Raw genomic sequence first — 27369 nt, forward strand, 5'->3', positions numbered from 1 at the left:
GCAGTAGGCAGTTTCTGATATGGCTTCCAATAATTCCTGACTTCTGGTATCCATTCTCTCGTGCAATTCCTTCTCCTGGTCTGGCTGGATCTAGTGACTACCTTCTAACAAACAGAATATGGCAAAACTAATGGGATGTCAATTCTGAGACTAGACTATAACAGACTGTGACTTTCATTTTGTTGGCATCCTCTCTTTCTCTGATTCTTCTCTCTCATGTTTGCCCTTATGGATAAGGCCATCTGCCAGAAACTGATGACTGCCTATAGCCACATCCAGCAAGGAAATTAGACTTTCCGTATAATAGCTCTTGAAGAATAAACCCTGTCCACAACCATGTGAGTGACTTTGCCTAGCAGTCAAGTCTTTTGATTAGACGGCAGTCCCCGGGCTGACACAATGATTGCAGTCTTGAGAGATACAATGAAGCAGAACACTGAGCTAGGTCAGACTACAGGAACTGATCCACACAAACTGTTTGTTGTTTTAAGCTGCTATGTTTTGGATAAGCTGTTATGCAGCAACAGGTAACAAATACAGGGGGGTTGTTTCTAGATTTTGGCTTTTATGAATAATGCTACTATGAGTATTTATGTACAAGCATTTGTGTGGCCAGGTACTTTTATTTCTCTTGGGTAAACACCCTGAAGTATAATGACTAATCATATGGCAGGTTTAAGTTAAACTGTAAAAGAAATCGCCAAACTGATTTTCAAAAGGGCTTAGCCATTTTACACTCATTTTCACAAGCAATGTATGCGAATTCTAGCAGGTATATATCCTTTCAACACTTGGTATGGTCAGTCTTTTTAATGTTAACCATTCTAATTGGTGTGTATTCACCATAGTTTTAATTTGCATTTCCCTAATCACTAATGATGTTTAGCATCTTTTCATGGAATTATTGACACTTGATCATCTTTGGTGATGGGTCAATCTGATTCTTTAACAAATCAGATTACTTATTTTATTATTAATAAGTTTTGGGAGCTCTTTGTATATTTATCAATTTTTTCTTTTATGAATCATGCTTTTAGTATCATACCTAAAAAATCTCTGCTTAACTCAAGATCACAGAGATTTTCTCCTATCTTCTAAACATTTTATATTGTACCTTTGTCTATGATGTGTTTGGAATTAATTTTTACTTACGGCATATTAGGGTTTAGAGGTTTTTGGGGTTTTTTTTTGGCATAAGGATATCTAATTGTTCCAGCACTGTTTGTTGAAAAGACTATCCTTTCTCCACTGCATTATCTTTGCACCTTTGTCAAAAGTCAACCGGCCATATATGGGGTCTATTTCTGGGTTCTTTATTCTAATTCATGGATCAAATTGTCTATCTTTACACCAACACCAAACTATTTTGACTACAGTAGCTATATATTATGTCTTAAAACAAGGTGGTATAAGTCCTTTAACTTTCTTATTTTTCAAAGTTGTTTTGGTGATTTTATTTTTTATTTATTTTTAATTATTTATTTTTTTGAGACAGAGTTTTGTTCTTGTCGCCCAGGCTGGAGTGCAATGGCATGATCTCGGCTCACTGCAACCTCCACCTCCTGGGTTCAAGTGATTCTCCTGCCTCAGCCTCCCAAGTAGCTGGAATTACAGGTGCCCGCCACCATGCCCAGCTAATTTTTTATACTTTTAGTAGAAACAGAGTTTCACCATGTTGGCCAGGCTGGTCTTCAACTCCTGACCTCAAGTGATCCACCTGCCTCGGCCTCCCAAAGTGCTGGGATTACAGGCGTGAGCCACCACGCCTGGCCTGTTTTGGCGATTTTAGGTCTACGGCATTCCATTTGAATTTTAGAATCAACTTCATTAATTTGTACAAGAAAGTCTAATAAATATAGAAAAAATAGAGAGTAATGTTTTTATTGGAATTGCATTAAATCTAGTGATTAATTTGGGGAGAAACCACATCTTAACAATATCCAGTCTTCCAACCATGAACAAGGTATATCTCTCTAAATATTCAGCTGATTTTTAATCTCTCAGCAGTTTTGTAGTTTTCAATCTGTAAGTCTTAAGTCTGACCACTAAGTTTTTCATTTTTAAAATGCTACAGAAATGGATAATTTCAATTTTCAATTGTTATTGCTAGTATACAGAATTGGATTTTCATAGTGATTTTGTATCTTGCAACTTTGTGAAATGCAGTTATTAGTTCTAGCTTTTTGGTAGATTACATGAGGTTTTCTACCTAGATGATCACATTGACTGTCCCCCTTACCCGTCCAAGACAGCCAGTTTTACTTATTCCTTGCCAATCTGGATGCCTTTTATTTTTTTTCTTGCCTTGCTGTACTAGGTATCTGTCCAGTACAATACTGAATAGGAAAGGTAAGAGTGGATATCCTTGCTGTGTTTCTGATCTTAGGGAGAAAGCATTCAGTCTTTGATTATTAAGTATGATGTTAGCTGTAGGTTTTTCATAGATGCCCTTTATCAGGATGAGGAAGTTCCCTTCCGGTTCTAGTGTGCTGAGAGTTTTAAATCAGGAAAGGATACTGGAGTATATCAAATGCTCTTTTGCATATAATTAGCTGATCATGTATATATATGGATATGTATTTTAGTCCTTAATATAGTGAGTTACATTGATTTTCTAATACTGAATCAGTCTTGCATTCCTGGGATAAAGTTCATGTGGTCACGATTCATGATATAAGATCCTTTCTTTTAAATTTTTTTAGTATTTATTGATCATTCTTGGGTGTTTCTCGGAGAGCGGGATTTGGCGGGGTCATAGGACAATAGTGGAGGGAAGGTCAGCAGATAAACTTGTGAACAAAGGTCTCTGGTTTTCCTAGGCAGAGGGCCCTGCCGCCTTCCGCAGTGTTTGTGTCCCTGGGTACTTGAGATTAGGGAGTGGTGATGACTGGTATGCTGCCTTCAAGCATCTGTTTAACAAAGCACATCTTGCACCGCCCTTAATCCATTTAACCCTTAGTGGACAAAGCACATGTTTCAGAGAGCACGGGGTTGGGGGTAAGGTTATAGATTAACAGCATCCCAAGGCAGAAGAATTTTTCTTAGTACAGAACAAAATGGAGTCTCCTATGTCTACTTCTTTCTACACAGACACAGTAACAATCTGATCTCTCTTTCTTTTCCCCACATTTCCCCCTTTTCTATTCGACAAAACCGCCATCGTCATCATGGCCCGTTCTCAATGAGCTGTTGGGTACACCTCCCAGACAGGGTGGCGGCTGGTCAGAGACGCTCCTCACTTCCCAGACGGGGTGGCGGCGGGGCAGAGACACTCCTCAGTTCCCAGACGGGGTCGCGGCCGGGCAGAGGCGCTCTTCACATCTCAGACGGGGTGGCGGGGTGGCGGGGCAGAGGCGCTCCCCACATCCCAGATGATGGGCGGCCGGGCAGAGACGCTCCTCACTTCCTAGACGGGATGAGGGCCGGGGAGAGGGACTCCTCACTTCCCAGACTGGGCAGCCGGGCAGAGGGGCTCCTCACATCCCAGATGATGGGCGGCCAGGCAGAGACGCTCCTCACTTCCTAGACGGGGTGGCGGCCAGGCAGAGGCTGCAATCTCGGCACTTTGGGAGGGCAAGGCAGGCGGCTGGGAGGTGGAGGTTGTAGGGAGCCGAGATCACGCCACTGCACTCCAGCCTGGGCAACATTGAGCACTGAGTGAACGAGACTCCGTGTGCAATCCCGGCACCTCGGGAGGCCAAGGCTGGCAGATCACTCACGGTTAGGAGCTGGAGACCAGCCTGGCCGACACGGCGAAACCCCGTCTCCACCAAAAAAATATGAAAACCAGTCAGGCGTGGCAGCGCGCGCCTGCAATCCCAGGCACTCGGCAGGCTGAGGCAGGAGAATCACGCAGGGAAGTTGCAGTGAGCCAAGATGGCGGCAGTACAGTCCAGCCTCGGCTGGGCATCAGAGGGAGACCGTGCAGAGGGGAGGAGGGGAGGGGGGGAGGAGGGAGAGGTCCTTTTTATATATTACTAAATTTGATTACTTAAAACTTTGTTAACAATTTTTACAACTTTTCTTAAGAAATGCTTGTCTATAATTTTCCTTTCTTATAATATCTTTGGTCTTCATGTCAAGGGAATGCTGCCTCATAGAATGAGTTGAAAAATATTCCCTTCTCTTCAATTTTCTGGAAGAGTTTGTGTAAAACTGGTATTATTTCTTTCTTTAAAGTTTGATAGAATTCACTACTGAAGCTATCTGGGCCTGGGGATTTAAACTACAAATTCCATTTCTTCAACTGATACAGTGTTATTCAGGTTACCTATTTCACGTTCTGACTTTTGGTGGTTTGTGTCTTTTAAGTAATTTGGCCATTTCATCAAAGTTGTTGAAGGTATTACCAGAAAGTTGATTCTAATAGTCCCTTGATTATTCTTTCAGTATCTGTAGAATCTGTGTGCTGTCATGTCTCACATTTCTATATTGGTAATTTGTGTCTTTTACCTTTTTTTTTCTGATCAGTCTAGATAGAGGTTCATCGGTTTTGTTGATTTTCTCAAAGAACCAGCTTTGGTTTCATTTTTAAAAATCTACAAAAATGCATCTTTCTTTTCTTTTCTTTTCTTTTTTTTTTTTATTTTACTGATTGCCATTCTAACCTTAATTATTCCTTTTTTCTATTTAATTTTTTCTAAATTAAAAATTTTATTTTTTAGAGCAGTTTTTAGGTTCACAGCCAAATTAAGAGGAAGGCACAGAGATTTCCCATATACTCACTGTTCCTACACATGCATTACCTACTCCCCTATTATCAACACCCCCCACCAAAGTGATATGTTTGTTGCAATACATGAACCTACATTCATGCATTATACTCATTCAAAGTCTACAGTTTACATTAGACTTCTTTCTTGGTGTTGTACATTCTACGGGTTTGGACAACTGTATAATGACATGTATCTACCACTACATATTTTCCCTGCCTAAAAATTCTCTGTGCTCCACCATATTCATCACTTGCCCCCTCCCTGCCACCAAACTCTGACAACCACTTATCTTTATACTGTCTCCATAGTTTTGCTTTTTTCCAGAATGTCATATAGTTAGAATAATACAGTATGTAATCTTTTCAGATTGGCTTCTTTCACTTAGTTATTATACATTTAAAGTTCTTCCTTGTCTTTTCATGGCTTAATAGCTCATTTCTTTTTAACTCTTAATAATATTCCATGGTCTGGATGTACCCGTTTCTTTACTGATTCACCTACTAAAAGACATCTTGGTTGGCTGCATATTCTGGCAATTATAAATAAAGGTGTTATAAATATCTATGTGCAGGTTTTTATGTAGCCATAAGTTTTCAACTCCTTTGAGTAAATTCCAAAAATTACAATGGCTAAATTGTATGGTAAGAGTTTGTTTAGTTTTGTAAGAAACTGTCAAATTGTCTTCCAAAGTGACTATACCATTTTGTACTCTTCTCAGCAATGAACGCAAGTTCCTCTTGCTCCACATCTTCACTAGCCTTTGGTGTTGTCAGTATTCTGGATTTTGGCCTTCCTAATAGGTGTGTGGTGTTATCTTACTGTTGTTTAATTTGTGTATCCCTGATGATATATGATGTGGAGCATCTGCTCATATGCTTATATGTCATCTGTATATGTTCTTTGGTGAGGTGTCTGTTAAGGTCTTTGATCCATTTCTAAATTTGGTTTGTTTTCTGATTGTTGAGTCTTTAGAGTTCTTTGCATTTTTTTGGATAACACTCCTTTATCAGATGCATCTTTTACAAATATATTTTTGCCAAAAAAACTTTTCTTTCTCTTGTTATTGTCTTTTGCAGAGCAGAAGTTTTTAATTTCAGTGAAGTCCAGCTTATCAATTATTACTTCACGGATCATGACTTTGGTGTTATATCTAAAAAGTCATTGACATACCCAAGGCCATCTAGGTTTTCTCCTATATTGTCTTCCAGGAGTTTTGCATTTTGTGTTTTACATTCAAGTCTATAAACCATTCTAATTTTTCTGAAGGGTGTAAGATCTGTGTCTAGATTCATTTTTTTCTTATGAGATGTTCAGTTGTTCCAGTGACATTTGTTGAAAATACTATCTCTGCTCTATCTTTGTTCCTCTGTCAAAGATTGGGTGACTATATTTATGTGGATTTATTTCTGGGCTCTCTATTGTTCCATTGATCTATTTTTCTATTCTTTTGCCAACATACTGTCTTGATTACTATAGCTTTACAGTGAAATAAGTCTGGTATTGCTAGTCTTCTGACTTTCTTCTTTTTCAATATGGTGTTGGTTATTCTAGGTCTTTTCCTTTTCTATATAAACTTTAAAATCAGTAGGTTGACAATCATAAAACAACTTGCTAGGACTTTGATTGGAATTGTGTGGAATCTATAAATTGATCTGGGAAGAATTCATCAATTTAGTCTTGAGCAATTTAGTCTTCCTATCCATAAACAGGGAATACCTCTTCATGTATTTCAGTGTTCTTGAATTTCTTTCATTAGAATTTTACAGTTTTCCTCATGTAGAGAAACATTTACTAGATTTATACTTAAATATTATTTTGGTGCTAATTTAAATGATACTGTGTTTTTAATTTTAAATTCCACTTGTTTATTGTTGGAATACAGAAAAATGACTTTTTCTTTGTCATATAGATTATATTCTTAAATCTACATCAGGCAATGTGCAAAGATCCCTACACAAATGATATTATTAAAAAGAAAATACAACCCTAAAAATGTATATTATAAACATAAGGGAATAATTTTAATATACTTAAAAAAAATTTATCTTATGGCCAGGCACAGTGGTTCACGCCTGTAATCCCAGCACTTTGGGAGGCCAAGGCAGGCAGATCACGAGTTCAGGAGATCAAGACCATCCTGGCTAACATGGTGAAACCGAGTCTCTACTAAAATACAAAAATACAAAAAATTAGCTGGGCGTGGTGGCAAGCGCCTGTAGTCCCAGCTACTCAGGAGGCTGAGGCAGGAGAATGGCGTGAACCCAGGAGGCGGAGCTTGCAGTGAGCCAAGATAGTGCCATTGCACTCCGGCCTGGGCAACAGAGTGAGACTCTGTCTCAAAAAAAAAAAAAAAAAAGTATCTTATGCAAAATAGCATTTAATTTTTTATAAATAACTTTCTTTTATTATATTTATTCTTTATTTCAGACACCTGATCTAAGCCCACAGACTTTGGATTCAGTCTTTTGCTCCAGGTTAATTAAATTTTTATTTTTGGTTCAGGGGTACATGTACAAGTTTGCTACATAGGTAAATTGAATGTCATGGGGGTTTAGTGTGCAAATTATTTTGTCACCCAGGTAGTAAGCATAGTACCTGATAGGTAGTAAAAATGACTAACTTTTATATATTAATTTTTTATATATTAATTTATACTTTTATATATTAATTATATATTAACCTTTGACCTTGCTATAATCCCTTATTGGTACACTGTTTTTTGTTTTTTTTTTTGGTCATTTTTTTGGATTGTCTAAGTAGGCATTTGCAAACAAAGGCAGTTTTATTTCTTCCTTCCCAATTTGTATACCTTTTATTTCCTTTTCTTGTCTTATTGCATTAGCCAAGACCTTACTTTGGTTTTAACTGTTTTTTTCCCCTAGTTTCTAGGTAGAAGATGAGGTTGAGATCTTTTTTCTTTTCTAATGGAAGTTCTTAGTGCTATAAATTTATTTCTAAGAACTATTTTAGTTGCTTATGAATATATTCCAACCATAGGCTACCTTTCTTTCTGTACAAACTGAATAATGAAGTACATGAATGTAGAAAGAAAAGTAGTCTATAGTTGGAGTATATTCATAAGAAGTGGTGAATGGCTTGACCAATTGGTCAGAGGCCAAGAAATAGAAAAATAGGAGGATTAAGGGCAAGAAATTCTGGGGTAGAGGCTTCTGGATGAGCCTATGGGAGTGGCATAAACTGTTAGGACCTTTGGATACTTCATGTTAAACAGCCACCAGAAAGCATTCAACACAGAATCAGCACTAAATAACTAGGCAGTCAAAATTATGTGGTTTGTGGAAGTCTGCTAGCCTTGATCATAGGCTACTCCAATGACACAATGGGCACATGAATGGAGTAGACATGCTGGCAGAGATGGAGACTGTGTACGGGCCCAACAGCATGAGCTCCTACTTACCCAGGCTCATCTAGCTCTTAGAGCTGCCAACAGCAGAGGTAAACACTGAGCTTCTAATATAGCACTTATACTTTGCAAAGACCAATCAGCTGTTTGATGGTAATTTGGCTACAGTAGATGTCCTTTATATAGATTCTTCTGGACTGACCTATACACATATTCTATGTATGGGTTTGCCTTTCTTGCTCACAGAAACTTAGCACCATTATCCAAGGATTTATAGTTATCTACTGACAAAGGATTCTATATAACATTGTATTAGACCAGGAAAAGAGTTGTCTCACCCAAGGTCACCCCCTTACCTGGGGCAGCCCATATCCAATGACTGGTTGATATGAAGGAATAAAGACTTGCCCAAACCTGTGAAAACTATGAAGGACCATCTCAGCTTCAGAGCTCCCTGTGGGGTCAGTCAACTGAGGTCTTAATTGAATTTGTAAAGTTTCCCCAATTCCATTTCCTTCCTTCCTCCACAGTTGTTGGTCCTGAGAGTACTTCCTAATAAACTTCCTAATTTCCATGTTAGAATTAGGTGGCTTCCTGAGTAATCCAACCTGTAACAGGCAGCTAAGTGGTATTTGCTGATGGAGGGAATGGTGGAAGAGGAACAGAACTTGAGTTCTTGACTTTTTAATTTGAGGTAAGTTTTGGTCATTAATGTGGCAATGCCAGTAGAGTTAATATAGGAGTTGGGAATTCAAGGGAAAGCTAAGAGACAGAGATAAGATTTGGGAACTATTAACAGAAAGATATAAATTAAAACCATGATTGGCTGCAAGACTGCCGCTAGAGATGGTATGGAGTGAGAAGTGGGTCAAGGCAGAGATGTAGAGAATAGCAACATTTAAAGGAAAAGTAGAGAAAAAGTAGTTCACCAACAAAATTGTGGTGGGAAAGCCAGGGATGTCAAAGAAGAACCAGCAAGGTCTGACATAGAAGCCAATAGAGAGTCAAGAGAGTGTCAAGAAAGGAGAGGTTGAAAACATCCGTGCTGCAAAGAGGCACATAAAAACAAACAAGAAGTGCTCACTACACATTTTTACCTAAGAAAAAAGATATTTTGATTTTACTGAGAAGTGTTAAGTGGATTGGAGGGAGTGGGAGCCAAACTACATTTGAGTAAGGACAATCATCCCCAAAATGTGGTAATGTAGTACTGGGAGAACACCTCGGACAGTTTCCGAACTGCTTGAAAAATGAATCCTTTCTTCAGTTGTCCATAGGCAGATAACAGGCAACTTCATAGACTTTCATTCATATTTAAGACTAAGAATTCCTTAAAAATACATTGGTAAAATTATTAAGAATTACCAAAAATGTATTCATAATCGAAATCTGGCATGTTATTGAGGGTTACTGAGGACCCTAAGTCAGTTTTCTACTAACTGGCAATAGTGAAGAGACCCTATTTAGTCTGTAAACACATATATATTTGAAGATCTCCCAATTTTCAAGAATGATTAAAAAAATCAACTCCTTACCAGTGTGGTCTTGAATAACTCATTCATATTTTGACATATAATTTCCCACTTACTAGATTTTTAAACAAAGGGACTAAGCTTTCTACATTATCTGGAGCCTCTGTTAACTCTTTTCCTTCATTTTTACTTTATTCCCCCCATCTTTATCCCAACCATACTGACTTTCTTGCTATTCCTCAAACATGGAAGGCCCATGCCCACCTTGGGACATTTGCATCAGATACTCTCTTTGGCCTGCATCTGTGTCAGCTTTTAGGCCTCCATCTAAAATTTACTCAAAAGTCATCTTCATAGGGACATATGGCCACCCAATTTATACCTGCAAGCCCCAGCCCCTATTCACTATTCTGAACTCTCTATCATGCTTTCATGGTTTTTCTCTCCAAAACATTTATCTTTAAATATTATTTTTAAAATTTTTCTACTAGAATGAAAATATGAGCTAAAGAAATCTTGTTTTTGTTTTCTGATGTCTGAAGTCTTAGGAGAATATCTGGCACATAGCAGGTATTCAACAGATGAATGAATGAACATGCATGGTTGTGATAAAAATAAGAAAAAAGAGTCTTTTGCTTCTGCTAAAAGAATACAGAGTCTTTTGTTTCTGCTTAAATTATCTAAAATGTTTCAGATGCAATAATGAGGAAATTGATAGGATATTAGGAAAATAGTGCTTGTGAGGTGAAAGAAAATATTAAGGCAATATCAGGGTGGGGGTGCACTGGATGAAGGGAGTTTGTCTTAAAGATGAGAGAGAGAGACTTGAGCATGTTTACACAATGATGGAAAAGAGTAAGAAAAAAGAGGGTGATATGGTTTGGCTGTGTCCCCACCTAAATCTCATCATAAATGGTAATTCCCATAATCCCCACCTGTTGTGGGAGGGACCAGGTAGAGGTAATTGACTCATGGGGGTGGTTTCCCCCATCCTGTTCTCTTGACAGTGAGTGGGTTCTCATGAGATCTGATGGTTTTAAGAGGGGCTTCCCCCTTCACTGGGCACTCATTCTCTCTCCTGCCACCATGTGAAGATGGACGTGTTTGCTTCCCCTTCCGCCATGATTGTAAGTTTCCTGAGGCCTCCCCAGCCATGCAGAACTGTGAGTCAATTAAACCTCTTTCCTTTATAAATTACCCAGTCTTGGGTATATCTTTATTAGCAGTGAGAACGGACTAATACAAAGGGTAACTAAAACAGGGCATAAAGTAGAAAGTAGAGGTTTGAGAATGGAAAAGTGAGGATAAAATACTATTAGTTTTGAAAATGTTGAGCTTGAGGTGAAAAAATTATGTATAAGTAGAAATATCCAATAGATAATTACATAAACAGCAGTAAATTGAGAAAAAACTCAAAATATAAGACTTTAAAGTTTATGAGCACGGAGTTGGAACAGTCTATGTACACACACTCAAAATTATTCTGTTAACATTTTACTTACCTGATCTAGGTTTGAAAGACTGTTTGGATCTTGACTGAGAGCTTGATACTGGCTCCTGAGCCTGTCACCTGCTCCAATTCTCCTGAACTTCTTGAGATCCACTACATATAAAGCACTGCAAAAATGAATTACTTCTTGATAGCCTATGTTGTTTATGTAGTTTTAGTTTTACTTTCCTCCAGTGAGTGTCTACAGTGACGGTATTAACTACAGATATCCTAGGATCTAATAACAATTAATCCTTTCATAAATTTGCTCCTAATATCTAATACTGTTTCCCAAGAGTTTTAAGTTTGTTTTAATTTTGGTAGAACCCATAATCTTTTAGGGTCACCCCAAGATTTTCCAAGTTGTCATGAAACTCATGGCCTTACAAAAGGCCATGAGGCTTTGAAGACATAATCTTAATTTTATTTCACAAACCAAGTTTAAATCTTCTGGAGTAGTTAGGAGCCATATTACTTGGGTTTAACTCTTAGCTCTGTTATATACTAGCAGGGTAAGCCTGGGCAAATTACATGAATGCTGTATGCCTCAGTTTCCACATCTACAAAATGGAGGTAATAACAGTATCTCAAAAGATTGTCATAAAGATTTTATGACTTAATATACGTAAAGGCTTACAAGAGTGACTGGCATGAAATGAACACTATGTAATTGGTTGCTTTTATTGTGTAATTTTTAAGAAAACTGTGTAATTTTTAAGAAAACTGAAAGTTGCAATTCAATACATTACTTATTTACTAAATGGTAAGGGTCTGACTTTTCTTACCTGATATGGTATTTCCGTCTTAAAAGATGTGATGCCCAGTATCCTGTTTTCCAGAAACGATATCCATCCATTTCCCTGCGGCTATCACAAAATGGAGTATACCCATAAGGAGCTCCATCCAGATCGAAATCTCGAAGTTCTTTTAGATCATGTCTCACAATCTAAATAATTAAAATAGACTGTCTGATAAAGACTGTAAAATAACATAAGCCCTTTTTTATGGGAATCTCAAATCATTATTACTCTACTACAGAAATCCAAAGAGCTGTATTGTCCTCACAGTGCTTTCATGTAATATGAATTTACTGAATTTAACATTTATTCCTCTTGTCCTTACAGGTTAAAGGTAAACTAAAATTTATATTCCTAGTCTTTAAGACAGTGGTCTTACTCACCAACAAGAATATTTTGTTATGTCATTTATAAACAAGTCATTTTACGAATCAGACATTTGGGGAAGGGGTTAAATATTACGTAAGTGCAGAGCTCTTAGTTTCTCAATGTATGAATAACAAAATCATTCCATGCCAAATCTCCATTATTGTATATTGGCAAATGTTAAGTTTGAATCATAAAGAAAAATCTCCCAATTATTCTAAATAGCTTGAATAAAATAATATAAATGTTATTTTTTAATATGCTCAAGCCTTCTAGAAAAATATTAGTGCACACATTGAAAGAAAGGTAGGAGAAAGAATCATATTAGATATTATGTGTGGGGCTCAGATGGGAGGATTGCTTGAGGCCAGAAGTTTGAGACCAGCCTGGGCAACACAGTGAGACCCTGTCTGTAAAAAAAAAAAAAAAAAAAAAAAAAAAAAAATTAGCCAGGCGTGGTGGTGTGCACCTGGAGTTCCAGCTCCTAGGATGCTGAGGTGGGAGGATGGCTCGAATGCAGGAGTCTGAGGCTACAGTAAGCTATGACTGTGCCACTGCACTCCAGCCTGGATGACAGAGTGAGACCCTGTCTCTTAAAAGAAATTGAAATATACTTTTTGTTCCACATAAATTCTAACTTATCCATTTACTTTATATTTTCATTTACATATTACTTTTTTCTTAGAAATTCTGTGTATTTTCAATTTTTTTTTCCCACTAATGATGCAAAAGCAATGCAAGGAGGGAAAAAGGAAAAGTCATAATTTTTGGACATATAAATTTTGAAAGCAGAGGGCCTTGGGTGTTTTTTTTTTTTTTTTGGCCAAATTTATTTGCTTTTATTTTTAGAGATAGGGTCTCACTCTTTCACTCAGGCTGGAGTGCAGTGGCATGATTATATCTCACTGTGACTTCTAACTCCTGGGCTCAAACTTTCCTCCCCACCTCAGCCTCCAAAAGTGCTGAGACTACAGGCATAAGCTGGCCAAATTTAAAATGCTCTTTTCCTTAAGAGATAGAGTGATGAGAATTTGGTTATTGGTTGAATGCGAAAGAATGCTGTTGAAGGTGGAAGAATGAGAGTTGTATGTAACTGCTAGCTTTTCTAGCAAGAAGAAATTCCTAGTTTTAAACAAATATCAGCACATAATTTACAGGAATTCATTAACTACTCTTATTATGACTAATATAAGTATTTGTTTTAGTTCTCAAATGTAAAAAACTACTACTTTAGAGAGAAAACTTCCATGTCCTAAATAATAAATGGTACTTCTTACAATACCTTCAATTTTCCCCTGGAATTCTGACTTTTTGTTTTTAAAGATACTTTGCTTATATATCACAATCGTATCTTAAGCACCGTAATGAAGATAATAAACATGAGCAACATGAATTAATCTCTATATTAAGATAGAAGTGTAAAAAATGTTTGCGTATTACTAAAAATAGTAGTTAACCTTATTACCTGGTCAGCATCAACAAAAATGATTTTGTCCACTGCTAGTGGGAAAAGAACATCAAGGAAAAGAATTTTGTAACCCCAAATAATCCTCTGTCTTTCAGTCTGTTGACGAAGCCAACGGGGCCACCTATATTGAACTAGTTCATATCGGAATCCATACTCTTTAGCCATGTGAGGAATTACTTCCTAAAAACACACACACAAAATCAAACAATATGTTCAAGAGAAAGTAGTTTTGTTTTAGAGAAAAAAATAACATTAAAAAGGTAAAGCTTCCTATAAATTGTTATAAACTAATAGGCAAGATGTCTAAATACTACTTCTATAACATACTTATTAATGAGAAATATTAAAATGCTAACAAATATGAAATCACAAGTATAAATAAAACTATATAATTTAACGTCATTAAAAATAAGTGCACTATATTATTTAACAAACTTATTAATGGAAGATAAATGTTCCCATACTTTTATTGTTAACATCTGACTTGAGAAAACTGACTTAAAAAAAAGCCTCTGGATCTTGGAACACCTACATATCAAATAGTTCATGTATATGTCAACAGGTTGGTTGGTCAGAGATGTAAAGATGAAGAGAGGATACAAAAAACACAAAATAAGTTCTAAGCTGATAAATTAGATTCTATACAGGAGCTTCATGTTTGAGATATATCATTATTTAATTCAAGGATTAAAAATACAAAGTAGTGATTATGGTCTGAATATTTCATATTTGAGTATCTTATAGGCTTAGAAGTAGCTTATTCCCTGTTTAAAGCAGAAGCAGTTAATGAAATATACTGTGGGCTAAATTTAGTTCAAGAGCTCAAATACTGAGAGAGAAAATGAAAAAGGAATTGGAAAAGATGAATTAATAAATATAGAATTTGCGTTTTACCACTTGATTCTTACTTGAAACTAGTTTCTGGTTATATGTTTAATTTTTTTCTCTGACTTTGTAAGAACAATGTAGATTTAAAATACTTTTTTTTAAATGCAAGAAGCACCAATTTTATCTGTGAAATCTTGAAATTAGGGGTACAACAGCTGCCAGGAGTCATTGTTTTGGTTTCAAAATAAAATAAAATAAAACATTCAGATAAAATAAAAAGAATATTTTTTCTTCATTAAATATGTGTCCAAATATTCACTGAAACGGGCACTGTTCTAGGATCTAAGGGTACATTAGTGAACAAAAGAAATACAAATTATGACCTTCATGAGGCTTGTATTTTAGAGGAAGTAGGTAGAAATAAACTATTATCTACAGAAAAAAGTGCTATGAAGAAAAATTAAAAGGGAGAGGGAATTATAGTTTGTATAGTGCTGTCAGAAAATAATTATGTGTAAGTATGTATAATTTTAGCAAATATTTGAATGAAGAGAGGAGGTTTGACTTTTCTAAACTGGTAGGAACAAATCTAAAGTAGCTAGCGGCTTCTGTATCTGGCTGCTGATTTACACAGATGTTTGAGTTTGTAAAAATCCAAAGCTAAATTTCATGATTTGTGCACTTTTCTGAGTATATGTTATATTTCACTAAGAAGTTTTCAAAAGAAAAATTTTGAATGAAAGAAACACATCACAAAAAGAAGGAAAATACTACTTCAGATACAGTATTTCTTTTGGCCATGCAGTGGAACAAGACTTTCTAATCCAGACATAGCACTATTGTTCTGGTGAATAATATCTTTTCCTGCTAAGAGAATCTTTAGATTTTTCTATCTCAGTTTATTTGGGTTAAATACTCCCTTATTCAGTGTCTGACTACTAGGAAAGCATGTTAAAAAATTAGTAGAAAAATAGTATAACTTCTTATCTATATTTATAGGTTCTTTTTCTGTTTTTTTTTTTTTTTCCTACTGTCAAATGAGCATAGGAGGAGACACTGTTGGTGGTGGAGGGCAAATGGGCTGTTACATAAGGTTAAGCACCTGAGGTCTGAATGCCTGGGTTCAAATCTCAGCTGTGTTTCTAATTAGCTGTTTCATATCAGGCCTATGCTATAAAGGATGATTCTTGCTCAAAGAAAAGTATGGCCCTTCACCCTATCTCCCAGGAAATATCCCCTACCCTGGCCCTTCACCCTATCTCCCAGGAAATATCCTCTACCCTTGGAATTTCCTGACTAATAAGAATGTCTACGTTTACCTGCAGATCTCGGACCACACTAGATATTGTATGCTAATGATGTTATTTGTAGTGAGGACCTTGGGCCACAAAGCATCAGTTCAACATCTGAAGGGGTTAGAGGTTAAGGTTAGTCATGCAGGCCGTTAGCCAAGTCCACACAGCTGACCCTCAATAAAAACTCTGTACCACAAAGTTTGAATGAGCTTCCCTGGTTGGCAATACTCCACGAGTACCCTCACACACTGTTGCTGGAAGAAATAAGTGCTATCCACTGTAACGGGATTCTACTGGGAGAGGACAACTGTTAACTTTGTGTCTGGTCTCCCCGGACCCTACCCTAAGCATCTCTTCCTTTTGCTGATTTTATTTGTGTCCTTTTGCTATAAAAACTGTAACTGTGAGCACAGCTGTTTTTTGGAGTTATATAAATCCTTATAGTAAGTTATTGAATCTAAAAGTGGTCTCAGGTACCTCTCAACTGTGCAAGCTAGTTACGTAACTTTTGAATCTTGGTTTTCTTATCATGTGGGATTGTTATGAAAAACAATTGAATAACGTCAGTTAAACACTTGGCATCATGCCTAGAAATATTAAGGAATAAAAGCATGCTTGGCTAGTTTTACTTCTGTTTTCCCACTGCTTTTGGTCTAGAAAAAACAAACTCATTTGAAATGCTGTTGAATGAGACACCAAATTGCTGCGGAGACACTAAATTTCACGGAATTTGATTATGCTGTAGGGAGAATAGGAAGAAACAGAGTATACTTTGTAGCAGGAGTATAGGGCTGAGTAAAGGGTAATAGCTGTTGATCACCTGAAATCTTCTAAATATAAAATGCCTCAGATCATGGTGCCCAGCAATCAATACACTACACAGACGAAAGAGCTTTTTTGTTTCAGTACTGTAAAACTATTTTCTACGGTATAGGTATAGTCTTTGTATTTTCTTGATACTACTACTGTTTCTGCCTATCTTTGCAAAAATGACAGAATCCATTTCTTTTAATTGAAAATCTGTATATATTTTCCATTGCCAAATTGTATTTAATTACTCATTATCATGAAAAACTACTAGCCATTCTGATTTTGATTTTACTTAAAAATATACAGTCTTCTGTCCTCTCCTTTGAACATCTCTAAATAAAAATTGTACAGAATTTTTCTTAAGCTACATAAAAATACTAAATACCATTTTTTCAAAAAGCTTATTCTGAAAAGAGAAATATCATATAAACTTACAATGATACAAATAATTTACTATTCAAACATTAACCATTCTACAAAAAAAGCTATGTACTTACTTTAAATGTCGGTGAGAGATAATTTTTTAGCAACCAGAATTTCACTGGTGTTTTGGTGTTACGCAAAACAGAAAGCATCATAATTCTGTATAAAAGAATATTAAACCCAATATACATTAACAGTAACAGGAGCTCATATATATTTTTTAACCTTGAAGTGTTTTTTAAAATTTAATTTTAATTTCTTAAATTTTACTTTAAGTTCTGGGATACATGTGCAGAACATACAGGTTTGTTACATAGGTCTTTTAAAGGCTTTTAAATAATTGAAGGTATGAATTAGAAGGTTTTCACAATGAAATGTGAAGAAATAAACTAAAATATGGTTTATCAAGTATGTAATGTGTAAGGATGAATACATATACATCATGGTAGCTTCACCTGGGCCCAGCTGTCCATGACTGTGTGATTAATATTAAGTCTACAAACCCTGAAGAGCTGAATGATCTATCTATATTGACAAATTCACTGGATGGGTCATTTGGTTTGCTAACCTAAACCTCCAAATGGAAAGGATACAAATGAATCTGAAGTTCCATTTTAACGTATCAGTGCTACAATTCAAATATTTTTGAGTTATTCTCTGTGACCTTTCTATATAAACTGTTTAAAAATAGCCTTTTGTACTTTGCAATATGCATTTCTCCCCTCATTCCCTTCCTTTTTATAAAACAAGGTTTTCTTCACTGGAAAAGGATAATTTACTATAGTAAATTATATATATATAAATATTGTATATATAAAGTACTGTAAATATATATATTGTGAGTATATCTATATATATATATTCTTACCTATCCAAAATGTCTATTTGCTAGCCTTGAAGAAAACCAATATTCCAAATCAAGCCAAACTCATGAAATTTCATATTTATATATACTTACCTCATAATTTTAAGTAAAAAAAAAAAGCAAGGTGTAAAGTAGTATGTTCTTTACTATTTGGGTAAAAGGACTTAAACAACTGAAATAAATAAATAAATATACACATATATATTTACGTGTGTGTGTGTGTATGTATCTCCTTAGCAGGATATAAAAATAATATTATGGGTTTCCTGTGAGAAAAGGAACTGAGTATCAAGGAAACAGAGGTGGGAGTTTTTTTTTTCCCAGTGTATATTCCTTTATTTTTTTTTGAAATTTGAACCATGTAAATATTTCTTTTTCAAAATATAAGGTTAAAAAATATACCTACCTTAAAAAACGTTCATATAAATGACCAGAAGCAACTGAAAAAATGTTTAGGACATCTTTTTCCTTTTTGTTTTCTTTATGCAAGCTTACTGTGAAACTTGGAATAAAAAAGTAATTGACATTTCTTAAACATACATATGGAAACATTGTATGCCTAAATAGTAAATATAAGCAATCAATATAGAAATGTATTTCAAAATAGTTAAGCTATAAACACTCTATAATATTTACAAACTAATATTAAAATATTTGACAATATCATTTGAAGCTTTATGAGTTTTTTTTTAAATTTGTAATGTGGAATATAACTATATTGTCTTTAGGTGAATGGGCTGGTATTTTTGAATTTTTGTGAGTTGCCAAAGGTTGTTTTCAGAACAAAGAATGAATTACAGCTTGACATGGCCATATCTAGTGTACTGAAAGTTTAAACAGGTCAATGAGGGAAGGAACAGAATGCTTAAGTGTGGAACTACGGCACAGCAAGAATTTATGTGGTAACAGGGTAGGTGTGTGAGTGCTGCTGATGGGGCTCATCCAGGCTAAAATATTTTTAAACCATCTACAATTTGGAGCTCCTCTGACCAAGCAGATTTTCTCCACCACGCAGGGTATGGAGTATGCTCTTGGTACTCTGGATGACTTCCATGACAAAGAAAGCACTAGGGAACCATGTCTACTTACTGGTTTACATCATGGTAGCGTCATCTGGGCCCAGCTGTCATTTTCATTACATTTTTGGAGCTAGACCAACTCCATTTCATTTTTGTATAGGCCCATTTCATATATAAAAATGACTGAATCTTCTATTTACAGTATTCATAATGTATAAATTCATCTTTTTCTTCCTAAACATTTATTTCAAAATACTTTTATATAAACAGATATTTAGAATGAATAAAATTGGGTAAACAACTTAAATCACCATCAAAGTTATTTTGCAAAATATAAATTGTTATGACAGAAGTATTTTTCAAATCTTGTAATCTCCCAAATAAGAAAAGAAGTTGATTCAGTGGCAAGAAAAAATAATCATTCTAAGTTAGGACTAAAACTAAGATGAAAAAAGTCAAAGCATCATAAGACACACAACACTACGTATCTGGAGCAGTTAACGTCCCAAAAACTTACCATCTCCGTTTCTAACAAAGCATTTTGTTTTTGGTATCCTTTTAATATAGCAAGTGGCTATACCATAATTGAACAGTTATCCTTAATCATTCTTATCTATACCTTCTAACTTTAATGGAAGCTTTTAGTAAGACACTCTTAAAATTGCTCAGATTCTATTTCATTATCCCCTGTCAAACATACCTACCCTCCAAATCATCTCAATGAGTGGACTTGATCCTTTCTCTATCAGTAACTTGTTCAAAGCACACACTGTACAGTAACATGATTTTTCTTACCAAACAAGGAGTCAACTATAGAAAAAGAGGCTTAAACTGGGCAAAATCCAAAATGATAGAAGTGCTTTTGACTACTATAACCAAATATATTTAAGTTGTTGAATCTATTTGGGCTAACATTTCTATTTCTTATCTTTGATCAAAATGATTAATGGTTTTCCATCATAGCTCACATTGGGTTCAAATCTCTAAAATGGACATTCAAAGTTCTTTACAATGTGCATCTACAGGAGACAGCTTTTGTTTTTGCTCACCTAACATCTGTTCCCCTTCTAGTAACAACCTGGTATTTTGGGGGGAATCATTCCTCCTCCCATCTCATTCTATGAGGTTTAGGTGGGACAGGGCTTCCCACCAGTTCTAGAAGTAGGTATATGACTCATGCTGGGTTATCAGAGTCACAGAAATCAGTTCAGTTTGGGACACACAGCTATAGTTGGACCCATGAGTCAGCCTTGGAACTTTTATTGGTACTGTTTGGAAAGAGGCAACTTCCTTCCACTGGAAACAGTAAACTTTTACTTACAAAAGTCTATCTTAAAATGGAGGAGACACAGAAAACAGTAGACCTAAGAGATGGAGAAAGATTGTTTCCACACCACATCACCCAGTGGCCAACACCAGGTGTACTCCTGGATTCTTTAGATATCTGAGACAATATATTCCTTATGTATGTTTCTTTTTCGAGACAGGGTCTCACTCTGTCACCCAGGCTGGAGTGCAGCGTTGCAATCTTGACTTACTGCAGCTTTGACCTCCCAGACTCAAGCAATCCTCCCACCTCAGTCTTCTGAGTAACTGGAACTACAGATACATGCCATCACAACAGGCTAATTTTTAAATTTTTTGTAGATACAGGGTCTCACTATGTTGCCCAGGCTAGTTTTGAACTCCTGGGCTCAAGCAATCCTCCTGCCATCACCTCTCAAAGTGCTAGGATTACAGGTGTGAGCCACCATGCCTGGCCTGTGTTCCTTTTTAAACTAACAATAAAACAGTATAGGTATCAATCTAACATAAACAGTCCCTTTTATTTTCAAGTTGCAGCTAGCTAGGCTACTTTCTTTTCTTTGAGGAACATACCCAATCATTTTGTCTTCATGTAATTGCCTTCACTCAATCTTTAACTTTTGAAATCCTGTCTGTCCTTTAAAACAGATCTTTGCCACACACTTCTTCAAGGAGTATTTCCCAAGGTTCCTTGTAAGTGGATATATAATTTTTCTCCATTGGTTTGTATAGTATTTTATTTTCATCTGTCTTATAGCTCTAGTTTCCTATCTTGTACACAGTAGTAACATTTATGTATTTATCTTATCCCTCCTAGATTAGAGGACCTTTGCCTTACTTAAATTTTCACTACCTGTGGAACTTCCACATACTAGACTTCTGGATCAATCTAGTGATGTATTAAAATATTCATTAGTAATTACCTTTTAATGGAATCCCACAGTCCTTTTGTTTTTTCATCTTCATCGGTAAGGATATCTTCCTTAATTTTGTCTGTTTCTTTTTTCACCTAGATAGCATGGCAAAAAAGATTAGAATTTGGCTGCTTTAAATATTGTGCTGTATGGTTAGAAAGTGAAACATATTGGGCGAGATTACCCATAGAAATCTAAGATTGACAGTTGCAGTAACCAAAGACAGGCAATATCTTAGCACAATGTTGTAAACAATCTGGTCTTTAACTATCAATTCAACCTCTTTGTTCAGTTTCTTCAGTGGTTACCTCCATATTGCTAAATAATGTGCTTACCCTTGTGTTTACTAATTTATCAGCTTTAGGCATTATCTACTAGTATTTCTGAATTCAGAGTTTAGACATTATACACTCTTTGTGATGACAGATGAATAGCTCACTTATCGTTATCCCTTCCCTTTCCCTATTTGTCTGGAAATTTTGGTAGTAATGTGTTTATCTTCGGTTCTTCTATTGAGTATTTTTTGTCACTTTAAATAATATTTAAATCTCTTATTTTTTTATTCCCACAATCCCAACAGTTTCTCTTGTATAATCTGTTTATAAGGACACTACTATTTCTATGATTTCCTTCTACCTCCCAACTTATATTAAACCTTGACTTTAGCATTTGTAAATATTGATAACATTTACATTTAGTTCAGTAGACATAATTGTTGCATTTTGCTATGGTGATTCTAAAACTTGAAAATCAGTAAAAAGTTTTCATTATGACAATGTAAAGATTAACCACTGAAGAGTCGGAAAAGCTACTAAAACTCTATTTCCTCTGTACAGTTATAGTTTTAGCATAGTACAGCATAGTTATAGTTTCCTCCTATGGCCACTGTGCCACTCCTAGGAGACTCTTGCTGGGTTAGATGAATTCTCCTTTCTTACATTCCACCAGCAGAGAACTATTTTTTCCTGGAATTCCATTGTCCTTCTTTTTTCTTGTGGGGAGATATACAAATATGTCTTCTTTATCACAGACATAATCTTTTCCAGTTTATTACTCATGTTATCTAATTGTCTAGGATTCTTGTCTACCTGAAGACATTTTTCTTAAAGTTCAACAATTAACTGTTTCTTTCTAGATTTTCTTTACATTGGTTTACAGATTAGTTTCACCATTTCTTGAACTACCTATCTTCTTTCTTGATCTTGATCTTCATTGTACTGGCAAACATCTCCAAGAAAGGGTATGAAAAATAATTTTTCTAAATCTTCACACTTCAGAAACTAACATTTTACCTTCACATTTGATTAAGAATTTGGCTAGATACAGAATCTTGGGTTCAAAATAATTTTCCTCAAAATACTGAAAGCTTTGTTTTGCTGTCTTTTAACATCTAAGTATTTTGAAAATGAAATTCTGATGTTAGTGTTGTCATTCTATTGCAGTGACCCACTTTTCCTTCTTAGTAGCTATTATAATCTTATATGGGCCATTTTCATTCATTCTACTTCGTAATTTGTGGACTCTTTTGACATGAACATTTTTCTCTCTCAGCTTTACAACACTTTCCCTCCTCCATCTTCTCTGTTGTTTCTGGAATTCCTCTTAATAGGCTATTGGATTTCATGGGCTGATCCTCTATGTTGCTTATCTTTTCTCCTCCCTGTTTTTCTATCTTTTTACTGTAATTCTGAGAAAGAGGTGGTTAGGAGATAAAACTGTGTTATTAGAAAACAAACTGAAGGCGGCCGAGCATGGTGGCTCATGCCTGTAATCCCAGCACTCTGGGAGGCCAAGGCGGGTGGATCACTTGAGGTCAAGAATTTAAGACCAGCCTGACCAACACAGTGAAACCCCACCTCTACTAAAAATACAAAAAATACACACAAACATAAAAATTAGCCAGGCATGGTAGCACATGCCTGTGGTCCCAGTTACTCAGGGGGCTGAGGCAGAAAGATCACTTGACCTTAGGAGACGGAGGCTGCAGTGAGCCAAGATCGGGCCACTGAACTCCAGAGTGAGCAACAGAGCGAGACTACATCTCAAAACAAAAACAAAAACAAACTACTGAAATACCTAGGGTATGGGTAGGCTGTAGAATATTTCTAATTGGTTTCTTTCATAATTCATAAAAATTCTTAGCCATTATTGCTTCAAATGTTACTTGTACCCCATTCTTTAATTATCTTTGAAATTCCATTTAGTTTACTTTTATTTATCCAACAAATACTCATAAAGTGCTTTATCTTATCTTCATAACAGTCCTGTAAGGTATATTCTATTGTTAACCCCATTTTACAGATGAGGAAATGAGACAGAAAGAGATTAAGTAATCCGTCCAAGGTCACACAGCTAGTGAGTGGCAAAGCCAGTTTTAAATCCACTGCTGGTAATCTTAGACTTTCACACTAGCGTGTGTGTGTGTGTGTGTGTTAATGCTCTCTTCTATATTTTCTTTTTTTCCTGTCTCTATTGCATTTGGTATACTTTTTCTGGCCTATCTCCCCCAACTTGCTAATTTTCTCTGAAGGCATGTTAAAGCTATCTACTATTAATTTTGGTATTGTATTACTCAGTTTCCAAAGTTCTACTTTAAAAAAATCTGATATGCATGTTTTACAGTTTCATGTTCCCAGCAATTATTTTTAAACTCATCTTTAATTTCTTTAAAAAAAGTACAGCTATTTCAGAGGCTATTCTAATAATTTTAATATCTTGGGTCTTTGTGTATCAGTTTTCTGTTTCTGCTGGTTTTGTGTATTTGGTTAACTTTGACTATGAGTTGGCCTTCATACTAGAAAAATTTGATTTGCAGCTTAGGCTATTGTAATCTTATTCCAGAGATTTATGGATGTCTCTTCCAGATACCGCTATATCCTATCCATCTGGAAGAATATTAGTACCAATTCAAGGTTCAGGATTCCCTGGCCTACTTGGCTGACACAAATTTGGGCTAAAAGACTATGAGGAATAATTTTTTATGTTTCATCCTTAGCCTGAAAATAGAGCTAGTTTATTGTAGAGGGTCTTCTAATAGATTATTTTATGTGGGTCCTGGGTTCTAATTTTTGTCCCCTAACCCATCAAATTAAATAAAAATGGCAGTTAAAAGTGTGACAGGACAGAAAAATGTTCCCAGGACAATAGTAGCTTCCTTGGGTCAAGAGAAGTTTCTGTGCTTGCTTATTTCACTAGGCTCGCATTTTCCCTTTAATTTTGGTTTTGGGTTTCCTTATTATCCTTATTATCTTATTATTCTCCGTTCCTCATTGCTTTTAAAATTTTTTTAAATTTTTATCTAATATTTTCACTAGTTTTAAGCAGGAGGGTTGGTCCAAAAAGAATCTGCTATCATTAAAAACTCCCTTTCTCTCCCAATTTAAAAAACAGCACCTTCTCTTTTTAGAGCTAATTTTTCAGTGCATGTTCTTGATCTCATCTCTAGAGTCCAATTTGTAATGTTATTTGGCTACAGATAGATTTAGTAGATATATTTACAGTTATCATAATGTAAAAAAAAATCCTTCTCTTCTATCTTCAAGTTCTGTTTTCCTTTGTGAACTTAATCCTCTTCTTTTTTTACTGCTGGAGTTCAAATATAACATTTTAGGTTGTAAAATTGTAAAGTTAATTGTAAAATAAATCAATTAATTAAAAAACAAAGAAGATAATTCTTAATATTAAGAACAAAGCCTATAAAAAGTTCTGCCCCCACATACTTTTACTTTGAGTATCTTGCTTTTGAAGCTGTTTAATACAACAATGATATCTTCTAGGTCTGCTTGAGAGTCAGTTCCTTCATGCCTAAAAGTAGAAAAATGTGTCCATAATTAATTTAAGAATAGACATACAATTATGATGGCATAACAGAATAAACTCATTTTGCAATAAACGTAAGTCCAATAACACTAGTGCATATATCATGTTTTTCTGTTTCTATAGTCAATTAAGATATACTATAATATGCTGTAATTTTCAAAATTATCCAATAAATTTTAACTCAGTACACATTAAAATTGTACAAAAGTAACTCATTAAATTCAATACTACCCAATCACTCTGAAAGTTCAAATTATGGCTTATCTTTGCTGTTATATACCAAGGCTATCACACAACTAAAATCTTTCACATCCCTGATATATTGTAGTGATAATTACAATTTTTTACACTTCAAAGTTGTTTATATTTCAAAGGAGTTCTACACTATCCAACTTTTTAATATCCACCAGCCATTTTCAAATGCCAAAATTTGAAGTACATTGTTAAAATAATGAGACTGAAAATGTGTCTATGATGTCCATCTGCATCACCTGAATGTTTCCATTTTGTATTATGTATAATGCAGTTTTTTTCTCCCATTTTCAAAATTGCTTAAACAAATATGGCAACTGTGCTCCGTAATTATTTTTTCAAACTATTCTCACTATGGACTAAAAAGTTCTATCATATTTACAATAAAGTTGAATTTTGTTGAAGGGGAAGCAATCAGATGTCAAATTAGTATAGTTACTTTTGAGTTGTTATATATAATACATACTTTTAACATTTTTCCAAAATGAACACCTGGGGAGTCTAGCACTATCATGACTGACACGTCTTTGACTTTCTCTTACTCCCAATTCCTGAGCTGAGGTGGTTAAACCAATGTAGCAGGCAGAACTCTGTCCAACAATCACCACTAGAAAACAGAAAGAAGCCAGGTGTGATGGCTTACACCTGTGACCCCAGCACTTTGGGAGGCTGGGGTGGGAGAATCGCTTGAGTCTAGGAGTTTGAGACCAGCCTGGGCAACAGTGAGACCTCGTCTCTGCAAAAAATTTTTTTTTAAATTAGCTGGATGTGGTGGCCAGCGCTGTGGTCCCAGCTAGTCAGGAGGCTGAAGTAGGACGATTGCTTGAAACTGGCAGATTGAGGCTCCAGTGACCTGTGAGCCGTGATTGTGCTATTGCACTTCCGTCTGGGCAAGAGAGACCCTGTCACAAAACAAAACAAAACAAAACAAAACAAAAAGGATCTAACCTGTATGGTAGAAACATTGTCAAATTTCTTAAAAACTTTCAGCTGCTTATAGTCACAAAACACTACTTAAGGGCATTGACAACTTTAGCCATTTAATTCCCTGTCCACTGAGACCCAGAGTATAAAAGCCAGCTAGCAGAGCACTACAGCTAGACCTAGACAAATTCGAAAGCAAATCTCTTTCCACTTCCATCAGGTAGCAGAGGTAGTAATGGTGACGAGCTCTCATTTTACTTCAGGCACTGTTTTTTTTTTATTTATTATACTTTAAGTTTTAGGGTACATGTGCACAATGTGCAGGTTTGTTACATATGTATACATGTGCCATGTTGGTGTGCTGCACCCATTAACTCTTCATTTAACATTAGGTATATCTCCTAATGCTATCCCTCCCCCCTCCCCTCACCCCACAACAGGCCCCAGTGTGTGATGTTCCCCTTCCTGTGTCCATGTGTTCTCATTGTTCAATTTCCACCTATGAGTGAGAACATGGCGGTGTTTGGTTTTTTTGTCCTTGCGATAGTTTGCTGAGAATGATGGTTTCCAGCTTCATCCATGTCCCTACAAAGGACATGAACTCATCATTTTTTATGGCTGCATAGTATTCCATGGTGTATATGTGCCACATTTTCTTAATCCAGTCTATCATTGTTGGACATTTGGGTTGGTTCCAAGTCTTCGCTATTGTGAATAGTGCCGCAATAAACATACGTGTGCATGTGTCTTTATAGCAGCATGTCTTATAATCCTTTGGGTATATACCCAGTAATGGGATGACTGGGTCAAACGGTATTTCTAGTTCTAGATCCCTCAGGAATCACCACACTGACTTCCACAATGGTTGAACTAGTTTACAGTCCCACCAACAGTGTAAAAGTGTTCCTATTTCTCCACATCCTCAGGCACTGTTTTAAGCACTTCATAGATGCTCACTCACTTAATCCATACAACCATCCTTTGAGGAAAGTACAATTATTATCCTAGATCCAAATTGAGTCTAGATAGTCTGGCTCTTCACCACTGTACTATCAGACCTTTACCAACAATGCTAAGCACCTGAAACCTCTGGATACATGAGGAAAATGTGCAGCTTAAATGAAGGGAACAAGCTAAGCAGTCAGAGGAAATGGACTTCATTGATAAGGCATTAATGCAGAAAAAAGGGAAGCATTCAAATAATTCATATTCTCAATGAGATTCAAGAGAATACTGAATCTCAG

The 27369-nt window shown here is 35.8% G+C and overlaps 1 protein-coding gene across 14 annotated transcripts in view; it reads right to left on the bottom strand.

Moving 5' to 3' along the window:
- The window catches only part of UGGT2 (UDP-glucose glycoprotein glucosyltransferase 2), a 251822-nt gene that overhangs the window by 40910 nt on the left and 183543 nt on the right, over nucleotides 1–27369 (bottom strand). For all 14 annotated transcript variants that reach the window (XM_047430471.1, NM_020121.4, XM_011521097.2 and 11 more), the window contains 7 exons: nucleotides 24850–24934; nucleotides 21140–21225; nucleotides 18299–18394; nucleotides 17102–17186; nucleotides 13669–13851; nucleotides 11826–11986; nucleotides 11054–11168 (listed from right to left, as the gene is read on the bottom strand). In XM_047430471.1, the coding sequence (XP_047286427.1) occupies nucleotides 11054–11168; nucleotides 11826–11986; nucleotides 13669–13851; nucleotides 17102–17186; nucleotides 18299–18394; nucleotides 21140–21225; nucleotides 24850–24934 (811 nt within the window). The remainder of the gene's footprint in view (nucleotides 1–11053; nucleotides 11169–11825; nucleotides 11987–13668; nucleotides 13852–17101; nucleotides 17187–18298; nucleotides 18395–21139; nucleotides 21226–24849; nucleotides 24935–27369) is intronic.

The sequence above is a fragment of the Homo sapiens genome, chromosome 13 (assembly GCF_000001405.40).
Source record: "Homo sapiens chromosome 13, GRCh38.p14 Primary Assembly".
NCBI lineage: Eukaryota > Metazoa > Chordata > Mammalia > Primates > Hominidae > Homo > Homo sapiens.